This window comes from Homo sapiens, chromosome 6 (assembly GCF_000001405.40).
Source record: "Homo sapiens chromosome 6, GRCh38.p14 Primary Assembly".
NCBI lineage: Eukaryota > Metazoa > Chordata > Mammalia > Primates > Hominidae > Homo > Homo sapiens.
The window spans coordinates 28,603,562-28,616,454 of NC_000006.12; the positions used below are offsets into that span (position 1 = coordinate 28,603,562).

The 12,893-nt window shown below is 40.7% G+C and overlaps 1 protein-coding gene and 1 non-coding gene across 6 annotated transcripts in view; one reads left to right on the forward strand and one right to left on the reverse strand.

The window, feature by feature from the left end:
* The window catches only part of SCAND3 (SCAN domain containing 3), a 45,668-nt gene extending 33,027 nt beyond the window's left edge, over positions 1-12,641 (reverse strand). For all 5 annotated transcript variants that reach the window (XM_011514287.3, XM_047418158.1, NM_001329616.2 and 2 more), the window contains exon 1: positions 12,464-12,641. The gene's annotated coding sequence lies outside the window, so the exon portion shown is untranslated. The remainder of the gene's footprint in view (positions 1-12,463) is intronic.
* TRA-AGC3-1 (tRNA-Ala (anticodon AGC) 3-1) lies at positions 3,595-3,666 on the forward strand. Its single transcript has one exon. It is a non-coding gene; the product is annotated as a tRNA-Ala (tRNA).
* Positions 12,642-12,893: the final 252 nt, after the last annotated feature.

Sequence of the window (12,893 nt, forward strand, 5' to 3'; positions counted from 1 at the left end):
TCTCTAAGGGAAAATTTTCTCTCCAATTTGGGAAATTTTCCAGGTATATTATATCTAAATATTACCTCACTTACATTTTTTTTCTCTTCTTTTATTCCTGAACTCTAATCGTATATACTTCAGAATTTTCACATAATCTTCCATTTCTATTATTATTATTTTTTAAATCAGTATTCTGTGGCTGTGTAATAAAGTACTCCAAACTCGGTGGCTTAAAACAACATAGAACTCAGCTGAAATGTATCATCTCATCTCCTTGTAAAATCAGCTGGATTTACAAATTCAATGTGAGTTGGCAGGTCAGCTGGGACTCGCTGCTCCTGGATGCCCTTAATGCCTGGATGTCTGATACTTGGCAAGGGCTATTTTCTGGAGTTCATCAGTTTTCCTTCATGTGATCTCCCCAACAGGACTGCCCAGATTTCTTATACAGTGATAGTGTTCCAAGATGTTGAGAACTGAAGCTGCAAGCTTTCTTGAGACCTGCACTTAGAAGTAGCACAGCATCACTGCCACTGTGTTCCAATGGTCAAAGCAGATCACAAAGGCAGCCCACATTCCAGGGTTAGGGGAAAAAGATTTGGCCCCACCTTCTGATGGGAGGAGATGCAAAGAATTCGCAGTTGTGTTTATCTATCTCAGCTTGCTTCACATGTTCCATGTTCTTAACTATTTTTGTTGTATTCTGGGTTAAGGTTTTGGCTTTATCTTTCAGCTTAGGAATTCCTTCCCCAGCTGTAGCTAATATGCAAAAAAATTAGGAATTTTTTTTTGGCCAGGCACTGTGGCTCACGCCTATAATCTCAGTACTTTGGGAGGCTGAGGCGGGTGGATTACCTAAGGTCAGGAGTTCAAGACCAGCCTGGCCAACAAGGTGAAACCCGTCTCTATTAAAAATACAAAAATTAGCTGGGCGTGGTGGCACACCCCTGTAATCCCAGCTATTCGGGAGGCTGAGGCAGGAGAATTGCTTGAGCCCGGGACGCAGAGGTTGCAGCGAGTCGAGATCATGCCACTGCACTCCAGCGTGGCTGACCGAGCGAGACTCTGTCTCAAAAAAAAAAAAAAAAAATTTAACTATTACATATTTATTTCTTGAATCTAAATTTTTACATAATTTTACTCACTCTTTTGCATACTTCATTTGTAATCATATCCTTAATTTATTGATATATGTCAGACATAGCTATTATACATTTTGTACCTTAAAATTTAACATCTACAGTTCTTTAGGTTTCAGTATGACTTTTTGTATCTGTTGAGTCTCAAGCATAGTAATTTACCTTCTTAGGTTTGTAGTAATCTTTATTATTAACCTTATTGTGTGATCTTAACATAAGAGAGTTCTGCAGGCCTAACTCGGGGAAGTTTTCTTTCAGAGAGGATATATTTCTACTTCTGCCAGGAGCTAGGTGACAAATTTGACCCTGAACCACTTGGTCTCACTATAGGTTTTGGCCCATAACAAGAGTGTCAGGCTCAGCTCCTCCAACTCTCTGCTTTTCTGATATTAAATATTCATCCTCACAGTTGTTTTTCGATTGGTATCTGACTTCAGGTTAAACCCACTCCTCTGTTGGTCCAAGTTGGCTTCCAGCAGTTCTTGCTCCCAACTGTTCCAACTCCCAGGAACTTTAGGCAGAGTTCTCACAGCTATGGCTTTGACTGCTCACTACCCTGACCTGGGCTCCAGGTGTTTCTAAGTCACTTTAGCGCCCAGAAAATATTCATTTATTTTTGTTTTGAGTGACCTCTAAAGAATTCCTTAATCCTTTGTGAGACCAGAAATGTCACAAAAAGTGTACTATCCAGAGACTTTGTTGGGAAGATTTTTTTAAAGCAAGAACAAAAAAGTACAGACCAATGACTGAAAAATATATAAGCACGCAAGATTATCTATTTAGTATTCCAATGGAGAACGTATATCCTGAGCCTAGTCATGCGAAAGTATCAGTCAGTGAAAGACATTCTATTTTTAAAAATGAAATGAGGCCGGGAGCAGTGGCTCATGCCTGTAATCCCAGCACTTTGGGAGGCTGAGGCGGGCGGATCACGAGGTCAGGAGTTCGAGAACAGCCTGGCCAACATGGTGAAACCCCGCCTCTACTAAAAAATACAAAAAAAAAAAAAAAAAATTAGCCAGGCATAGTGGCAGGCACCTGTAATCCCAGCTACTCAGGAGGCTGAGGCAAGAGAATCATTTGAACCCGGGAGGCGGAGGTTGCAGTGAGCCGAGATCGCGCCATTGCACTCCAGCTGGGCAACAGGGCGAGACTCTGTCTCAGAAAAAGAAAGAAAGAAAGAAATGAAAATAACACTATTTTTTAAATGACATATCAATGTCAAAAAAAATAAAGACTATGCAAATATTTTTCATTAAAGAAGACTAAAAAAGACAGGACAACTAAATGCAACGCCTGACCCTAGACTAGATCCTATATGAGAGGAAAACATCAGGTCAATTGGTCAACTTGAAATGCAGACTGTAGATTAAATACAGCTATTGTATCAATGTTAAATTTACAAAAGTTCCTAATAGTACTGTGGGTATATAGAAAAGTACTTAAGTAAAGGAAATGGACGTGATGTATGCAACGTACAGGAGAGAGAAGAAGCAACTCATAAGGCAAATGGGGTAAAATATTAATAATATCTAAATCTGAGTAAAGGATAGAAGGGTATTTTTGTATTATTTTTATTTTTTCAACTTTTTAGTGAGTTATAAATTGTTTGAGAAAGAGAGAGGGAGAGATTTCAACGGAGGTGCCTCAGAAGTCAATAGTTGTGAATTTGGGTTGGGCTGGGCCAGCTCTTTAAAATATGAGAAGCTTCCCCCACCTCCCCTCACCATTCGAGAAACCAATAATTTTTCATTGCTCCATGGTTTCCTACAGATTGGTCGCCAAGCAACAGATGCCAGCCCTGCCTTACCTAATTCATCTTTTTTTCAGATAACGCTACTACCCCACCCCAACCCCCACCAGTTTGGCTTAGCAGGGGACCCTCAGAGTTTTGTCGGAGGTAAACTACTCTAGACGTGCGGATCTGGGTGCCTACGTGATGCCTCTCACCCGGGTCCAGATTTCCAGTTTGTCCTTGTGATTGATTCATGACATCTTGAGCTCACAAGAACGTTCCCTGCCATCACCACTAAGTGTTCAGTGGACGTTTTGGGCTTTTGGAAACGGAAGTGATTTGAGGGTCTTTGTTCCAAGAAAGGCGGTGCTGGGCCCGGGGACTGGAACTCGGTAGGCGAGGATCCCCTTTGACGCCCCCCTACAGTTTCCCTTCAAACACGTAGGTCTCAGCTGGTACCCTGGCTGCGCTACTGGCTTTGGCCTCCTGGGGCCTTATGGTTGAAAACAGCAGGAAATGAAGCTGGAAAAAGCGAGAGACAACAGATTGTCTGCTTTCAGGCTCCTTCCTTTGTAATTTCACTGTGTTGCTTTCTTTGGACGCTGCTTGTGCAGGACCCAGCCTAGCTGTTTCACAAATTGCGGAGTTTGCATTCATGATTTCATTGCAATTTACCGAATCTTTGAGAAATACTGATTATAAATCATGAAAGAAATGCAAAGCAACCTGTCTGTGGTTGGGGGTGTAGCTCAGTGGTAGAGCGCGTGCTTAGCATGTACGAGGTCCCGGGTTCAATCCCCGGCACCTCCACCAGTTTTGGGAGTGCGCACTTTCTCCTCTCAATGGACCGCCTTTCCACTTTCCTTTCTCCCTCCCGTTAAATAAACCTAGTCTCATTCATTCAATTTTCTGCTTGTCTGTACAGCCTTTGCAGTGTTAAGTATCTGTATCGATAGCATTGCCACACCAGGAAGGTCTTGAACCCTTTGTAAAAGCATTTTCGCAAATTAATCAGCCTGGTTTCTTTGGATTTCATGCTATGGTATTACTGAAAAACAGAAAAAATATAAAAATAATAAAAGACCCTTTGTTTTATTCACTGTTTTTTTTTTCTTTTCTTTTTTGAATTCTGAAGAGTTCTTAGAGCAAAGAACAGCATGGAGGTGGAATAGCAGAAACATATCTTATTGATGTCTTTCTTCTGAGCTTCCAACCACCCTATACCTTACCTTTTCTTGAATCACCAGATATGGAAGCAGTGGGCCCCGTTAGTATTGTGCGGTGATAGGTACATGAAGGACAATAAAATGCTGTCTGTCATAGCATGGGGTGCCTCCCAAGTCTAACCCGAATGAGACAGAATGGATTGGCTGGTTAAATGAAACCAGAACTACTGTCCTTTTGCTGAAATAGCTTAGTGGGAGTGTGAGAGACCAGGCATCCAAATATCTCTTGTTCAAGAAAATTTCAGTAAAAATAAATGACATGTTTTTGGGAAAAGGGCTTGTGGGGTGCCTGCATAAACTGGCCATAAAAATATGAGACAATATGTTGTGGAAAGCCACAAGAGTCCTCTGAGGAGGAAAGCCTCCTAATTGCCATCATGTTCCCATGCTCAGAGCGAGACCCGCTCTCTTATCTGTAAACACTGCGTTCAAGGAGAAAGACACTCCTTTGAAATACTGGAATGTGGACAGACTCCAAGTTAAGCCCGCTCCCACTAGCTACTCTCCGATAAGTTAAAGATATGCTATTTGAGCACAAAGGAGATTCATTTAAACCGCTATTGCTATAGATAACGGCTATGACGCACTGCCACCTTTTCACTGTTTCGCCCTGAACATCTGCTTCTTAGATCTAAGTTATTGTATTCTATAAATAGTGTGGAGACCAGAGGTCTGAGCCTTTTGCAGCCTCCATTTTGCAACTGACCCCCTGGCTCCCCACCTTTACTCTTGTCTCTTCTCAATCCTTTGTCGCCACCGGACTTTGGGTACCCTACGGGTGGTGTTGAGGCTGGTCCCCAACACATGTTGAACTCATTTTACAAACACATTTAACTAGATGACCACCTCCACTGCCCCAACACAAAAAAGTATCCCACGACACCTACACATGTTAATCAATCCAAATCAAAGGTGATTTGCCTACGCCAGAGCTAGTATGAAATATTGATTAAATACATAATATGAGAGGAAAGAAACCAGTTTTTCCCTTTTTAACTTACTGATTTCTAGAAATTATGTTTTATTCTGATAAATTATTCTGTATAATATATAATGTTAATAGATGTTTATGAGGCTGGGCATGGTGGCTTACACCTGTAATCCCAGAAATTTGAAAAGCTGAGGCAGGAGAATTGCTTGAGCCCAGGAGTTCTAGACCAGCCTGGGCAACATAGAGAGATGATGTCTCTTTTAAATTAGCAGGGCATGGTGGTGCATGCCTGTATTCCCAGCTAGCTACTTGGGAGGCTGAGGCAGGAGAATCGCTTGAGCCCAGGAGGTTAAGACTGCAGTGAGCTGTGATTGTGCCACTGCACTCCAGCCTCGGAAAACAGAGCGAAACACTGTCTGAAAAAAAAGCGGGGGTTGGGGGGAGGGCGCTGTTCATGGTATGTATTCCCATTTAAGTCTATTTATGGTATTTTGGGATCAAATACATTTAAATTGTTTTTCATGACAAGACAAGGATATTCATTATCTTCACTACTACTTAACATTGTAATGGAGGTATTAGCTGAAGCATTTAGACATGAAAAAGTAATTAAAGGATTAACTATTGGATAGAATGGGATAAAGCTATCTATGTATCTTGGTAGGATTATATATCTGGAAGCCACCCCTCAAATGAAAAACTTACTATAGAGAATTTGGTAAAGAAGCTGGTTGCAAAGTTAACATAAACATATACACTCATACACACACACAAAATAGCTTTTCCATATTCAACCTTTGGAGGTTTTTGAATATCAGTTTTATTTTGAAAGCTAACACATGAAGGAAAAGAATCAAGCATTTATCCTATCTCTCCTGTATGGAATGTATTTCAGGATAAACATATAGTTGATGAGGGAAAGATTTTTCTTCTCAGGAAATAACAGCTAATGAATGCAGGAGAGATTATAAAACTACAACATTTTGCAACTGGTATTGCTATAACACATCCAGGTCACAATTGGCAATGGCTGCTATAACCATGAGGTGAAATTGGATGAAGGACTCTAGAATGGTTGGATTAGGCTGATGTCACCTAAAACCAAAGCTAAATTTTATATCATCAAATGTGAGACAACCACATATCATGTAACCCATAATAAAGTAAAGTAGAACATACCCAGGACCACAATAAATACTTGTGTTGAAAATTAAATTTCTATAATCAAATAGATAAAAACCATTTGTTTAGAGTAAATATTGGAGATACAGCAATGTGTTTAATAACATTATAATGATGCAATCAGCTAAATCCAGAATGTGGAAAATTCTCCTGGACAAACTGACCTTCAAGAAATAAATGGCATGGAGTCCAGGCAAGTTGGCACATGCCTGGAATCCCAGTGCTTTGGGAGGTGAGGTGGGCTGATCACTTGAGTTTGGGAGTTCGAGACCAGCCTAGCAACAGGGTGCAACGCCGTCTTTACTAAAAATACAAAAATTAGCCGGGCATGGTGGCAGGCGCCTGTAATCCCAACTACTCAGGAGGCTGAGGTACAAGAATGGCTTAAAGCCAGTAAGGCTTTTTTCCCCCCAGGTTTTTAAAATAACCTTAATTTTTTTAAACAGGTAATATGTGCATTATAGTAAATTAAAAAACACAAGAGGCCAAGCATGGTGGCTCACGCCTGTAATCCCTGCACTTTGGGAGGCAGAGGTGGGTGGATCACCTGAGGTCAGGAGTTCGAGACCAGCCTGGCCAACATGATGAAACTCCGTCTCTACTAAAAATACAACAAATTAGCTGGGTGTGGTGGCGTGTGCCTGTAATCCCAGCTACTCAGGAGGCTGAGGCAGGAGAATTGCTTGAACCTGGGAGGTGGAGGTTGCAGTGAGCCGAGATCGCACCACTGCACTCCAGCCTGGGCAATAAGAACAAAACTCTGAAAAAAGAAAGAAAGAGAGAGAGATGGAGGGAAGGAAGGAAGGAAGGAGAAAAAAGTAAAACACAAGAAACAAAGAACAAAGTCATCCACAATCACAAGTAGTTTATACTTTGATGTGTCCTTCTAGGTCCTGTGTGTGTAGACATAACATCCAGTTATATGGGATTGAGATTCTACAGTATATAGTATATATTATGCTTTTTTACACATCATAAATATTTACCAATTCAGAATTGCAAAGCTATATGAGTATTCTGATAACCAAGAATATACAGCACCAACTCAGTCTGTTAGAAAAACAATGTAATCTTGCTTTTTTTGGGACAAAAATTTTATAGAAGGCAAAAATGGAGACATGCCTCTAGATAAAAGCATTAGCAGAGTTCTGATTAAAATACTGCATTCCCTTAGTGCTCAATTTAAAATAAAACATAAAGCAACTGAATACACTAAGTATAATATTTCTAAGAGAATTCATTAACAGATCTATACCATTAAAATATTAGCAAGAAGATATGTTTCCTTTTAATTACTTCATGTATTCCTATAGTACAGCCAAAAGAGATGCACATACACCAATGGCTATCGTCAAAATGGAAATATGGACACATCTGCATTCATCTCTCCCTTTATACTTCCTTCTGCCTCTCTACTGCTAACCTGATGAACAAGTCCTGGTATACACTACCCAGTGGTGGTTTCACAATTCCATGTCCAAGATACATCTTTTCTAAAGATGTTTACTGAAAAGTAAAGTGCTCATATAGACCTATGGTTATCATCTAAAACCATGTTCTAGATAATGGAGATACTAGCAAAGAGCCCTTCCCTTCAACTTTCCTCTTTTCCCTCTTCCACCGTCCAGGTGGCTATGTCCAGCTCCAAGAGGTGGATTAACAAAGGTCACTCCTGGAAGACAGGCCTTCCTAAAAACTAACAAAAGGATATAAATGGATTGTTTTACTACCTCTACTTCCAACACACTTTGAGCAAAAGGACTTGCATTTTAATATACAACAATATTAACTAAAATGCACATATAGAACAATGGTTAGACCATCTGAACTAATCTAACTCACCTGCACAGAACTCTTCCCTCTACATACTTCTTCCCCACAACTTGCCACTACCCAGTGAAAAGTCAGTGTACTCTCCAAAACCTCAAGTTTAACAATTCCATTCCCAAATACAACCACTCCTAGACAATTTTGGTGAAAGGTGTTACTTTAGTATCTACTTTTAACCTATGTTGTGTGCTTTTACACATCTAGAAAGACAAGATGTTTCAAATAGGAGTTGTTTTCCACTGTATATACAGTAGCAGTGAATAAATGGTGCATATACATAACACAGGCTATAATTTAAAAGTGTCTTCTAAATAGGAACATTACGGCCTAGAATCGTTTCCCTTCTCACCTCTAAATTAACCCTATGGACAGGTATGAGCATCCAGAAGAGGAATAAGCATCCAGTTAGAGATTTTAACAATTTCACTTCTGTGGGGTTTTTCTTGTTTTTTTGTTGTTTTTTTTTTTGAGATGGAGTCTCACTCTGTTTCCCAGGCTGGAGTGCAGTGGCGCGATCTCAGCTCACTGCAACCTCTGCCTCCCAGCTTCAAGCGATTCTCCTGAGTAGCATCCTGAGTAGCTGGGACTACAGGCGTGTGCCACCATGTGCCCGGCTAATTTTTTTTTATTTTTAGTAGAGGCGGGGTTTCATCGTGTTAGCCAGGATGGTCTCGATTTCCTGAGCTCGTGATCTGCCTGCCTCAGCCTCCCAAAGTGCTGGGATTACAGGCGTGAGCCACTGGGCCCTGATCACTTCTGTGTTTTTAAGAACACTCTGTGAATTTTAACATAAGGTGTACTCAATGTATCAGTTTACTAACTCTACTTTTGTCATACACTAGCAACCTCCTTAACATCTGGAAAGACTAGATGTTGTAAATTAGGACTCGTTTGTGCATTTATATACACTATATACACAGCATAGTAAAAGACCATAAACACACTGGTATAAAACCCTTTGCACTTTCTTCTCCTTCCTCCCTGAACCAGCACAAATATAATAATGTGTACTGCTCAGGGAATTAGTTTGATCAGTTTTCAAAAGACAATATTTCATACGAATCAAAACGGTATCTACAATGCATTTTGTGCATTTCTAAACATTTAGAAAGCCTAGATGTTTCAATTAAGGACTTAAGTTTGTCCACTATATACATAGTAGTGTTGAATAAACCACACACATGTAACAGTGGTTATATCTGAAAGTGTCTTCTAAATTGAAACATTCTATTCTAGAATCCTTAATTTCTTCCCACTCCTCTCCACCACAAACTCAGTGGATATAGGCACTTGTGTCACTTAGCTGATGTTATCATTTCACTTCCAAAAGTCCTTTTCAGGAGACAGTCTTTAAATGAATTTTAACACAAAGTGTACAAAATGGGTTAGTTTATTAACACTACTTTTGTCATACACTGGCAATCTCTTTAATATCTAGAGACTAGATGTTACAAAATTGACTAGATATTATAAAATTTAATATATAGAGACTGTATATTATAAAATATACACTCAACAACTCATTTGTCCAGTATATACACAATATGCGCAGTATAGCAAAGTTAAATGAAAAGCACATAACATATAAGGCAATGGATAAGCTGAAATTTTCTAGTACACACTAGCAAAACACCTTTTGCAGTTTCTTTCCTCCTACCTCCCTCAACTCAACGAACAAGTAGAGAGCACACTGTTCAGAGAGGTGGTTTAACAATTCCACTTCCAAATACAGTATTTCCCATCAGTCTTTAAAAGCTATTTACAAAGTGTTATTCAACTACTTCTGCTTTTAAATACATCAAGCACTTCTAAATAGCTGAAAAGACTAGATATTTCATATAACTTTTCCACCATGTATACAGCACTGTTAAATAAAATTGCATACATGTAACAATGGTTATAATCTGAGGTATCTTCCAAATATGATCATTTTAGTCTTGAACCATTCCCTCCTCACTTCCTTCTCTCTGCCTTCAATTCAGTGGACATGTACAGGCACATGTAATGCTTAGAGATGGTTGAACAAATTAGTATCCAAAAGTCATTTACAGAAGACAAGCTTTCCTATGAATTTCAACACAAAGTGTACAAAATGAGCTAATTTTACTGAGTACTTTGTCATACACTGGCAACCTCTAACATCTAAGGGACTAGATGTTGCAAAATTATGACTCATTTGTTTATTATAAACTTTATACACAGCAAAACAAAATCCACAAAACATACAGAAAAATGGTGTCTAAAAAGTCCAAGTATAAGCACACTAGCATATTACCTTTTGCAATATCTTCCCTCCCACTTCCACTAAACCATTAAACAAGTATAGACACTACTATACCACTCACAGGGGCGGTTTAACAATTCCACTTTCTTTTCTTTTCTTTTTTTTTTTTTTAGATGGAGTTTCGCTCTTGTTGCCCAGGATGGAGCGCAATGGCGTGATCTTGGCTCACTGCAACCTCTGCCTCCCAGGTTCAAGCGATTCTCCTGCTTCAGCCTCCCAAGAAGCTGGGAATACAGGCATGTACCACCACGCCCAGCTGATTTTGTATTTTTAGTAGAGACAGAGTTTCACCATGTTGACCATGGCTGGTTTCAAACTCCTGACCTCAGGTGATCCACCCGCCTCGGCCTCCCAAAGTGCTGGGATTACAGGCGTGAGCCACCGCGCCTGGCAACAATTCCACTTTCAAAAGACACTATTTCTTATGAATTTTAGCAAAAAGATATTTTTAAGTGATTATTTTACTCTTACATTAGAGGTTAAATGTTACCTGTACATTTAACATATGCTGGGCACTTCTAAACATCTAGATAGGCTAGATGTTTCAGGTAAGGAGTATATTTGTTGTCCACTATATACAGAGCAGTTTTCTTTTTTCTTTTCTTTTTTTTGGAGGCAGGGTCTTGCTCCATCACCCAGGCTGGAGTGCAGTGGTGTGATCTTGGCTCACTGCAACCTCCGCCTCCCTGGTTCAAGTGATTCTCCTGTCTCAGCCTCCCAAGTAGCTGGGATTACAGGCATGCATCACCACACCCAGCTAATTTTTGTATTTTTAGTAGAGATGGGGTTTCACCATGTTGGCCAGGCTGGTCTTGAACTCCTGGCCTCAAGCAATCCACCCACCTCAGCCTCCCAAAGTGCTGGGATTACAGGTGTGAGCCATCGTGCTGGTCCTGCAAAGCAGTCTTGAATAAACTGTACACATGTAACAATAGTTAAAATCTGAAAGAATCTTCCAAATAAAAATATTCCAGCCTAGAACCCTTCCCATCTCAGTCAACCCAGTGGCCAGTAATGCTCAGATTTTCAGAAGACAATTTTCCCAAGGAATTTTAAAACAATATGTTCAAGATATATTAGTTTACTAACTCTACTTTTGTCATATACTGGAAACCTCTTTAATGTCTAGAAAGTCTAGATGTAAATTAGGACTTGTTTTCCTCTATAAACACTGTATACACAGATAAGGAAAACAAAGTGCACAGACATGAGAGACAATAGTTAATCTTGCCTCACCGTAAGCACACTGGTGGCATAGAGCTCTCTGCACAGCCTCCTTCTCCTCCTGCCCTGAACCAGTGCATAAACACAATGTTTGTTACTGAACTGGTGGTTGGCCATTCCCCTCTCAAAACATTTCATATGAATTTTAACCAAAAGATATTTACAAAATGTAATATTTTACTATCTCTAAATTTAACACGTATTAGACACTTCAGACCATCTAGAAAGACTAGACATTTCCGGGAGCAGTGGCTCAGGCCTGTAATCCCAGCACTTTGAGAGGCCGAGGTGGGCGGATCATTTGAGGTCAGGAGTTCAAAACCAGCCTCGCCAACATGGTGAAACTCGTTTCTACTAAAAATACAAAAATTAGTAGGGCATGGTGGTGCGCGCCTGTAATCTCAGCTACTTGGGAGACTGAGGCAGGAGAATCACTTGTACGTGGGAAGTGAGCCATGATCGCGCCACTGCACTCCAGCCTAGGCAACAGAGAGAGACTCCATCTCAAAAAAAAAAAAAAAAAGACTAGACATTTCAAAAAGTACTTGGAGTTGTCAACTACATATACAGTAGTGAGGAATAAAATGCACACGGAAGACAACGATTATAATATGTAAACGTCTTCTAAATATGACCAGTCTGGCATAGGACCTTCTTCTCGTCCTTCTCAGATCTTCTCCATGTCCTAGTCTAACCCACTGAACAAACGTGTATGTGTCTGCTCCAGAGGTGATGCAACATCTCCATTTCAAAAAGTCATCTCCAGAAGATGTTTATTTTCTACGATTTTTTTAAACAAATGGGAATTTACAAGATGTGTGATATTCTTAGTCTATCATACATCGGCAGCTTCTTTACATCTGGAGGGGCTAGATGTGGCAAATGTTTTCTTGTAAAAGTTTTCGGGGAAGCTGAGAGTAGCTTTCTCACCTTATACACTCGGGCCTTCTATAAACGCTGGTACATCTTCCCAAAGCGTGGTGGGCATCTCCAAAGCGCCAAATGTGGCTTGTTACTCCATTTCTCTCTTCCCACATCAAGGTCTGGTAGAAGGAAGGCCAACCGCCCCATGGCCGTTACCGTTCTACTCGTCCTCATCCGGGACTGCGCTGACCTTCTGGCCGTTAAAGCCGTTATCCACTGTTATCAGGACCAGGTAGTCTCGCCCAACTGGGACAGAGCGGTCGCCCGAGGACCGGATCTGCGCGGCGCAGTGGCCTAAAAAGGAGGCCGAGCCAGTCCCTAGCTCCGCCTTCCCGGGCCCTGCGCCCTAGTGGCCTCTGCGCGGTTCTTCCCGACCCGCAAACACGCCGCCACCCAAAGCCTCTGTGTCCCGGCGGCCACCCGGTCACCGAGGTGT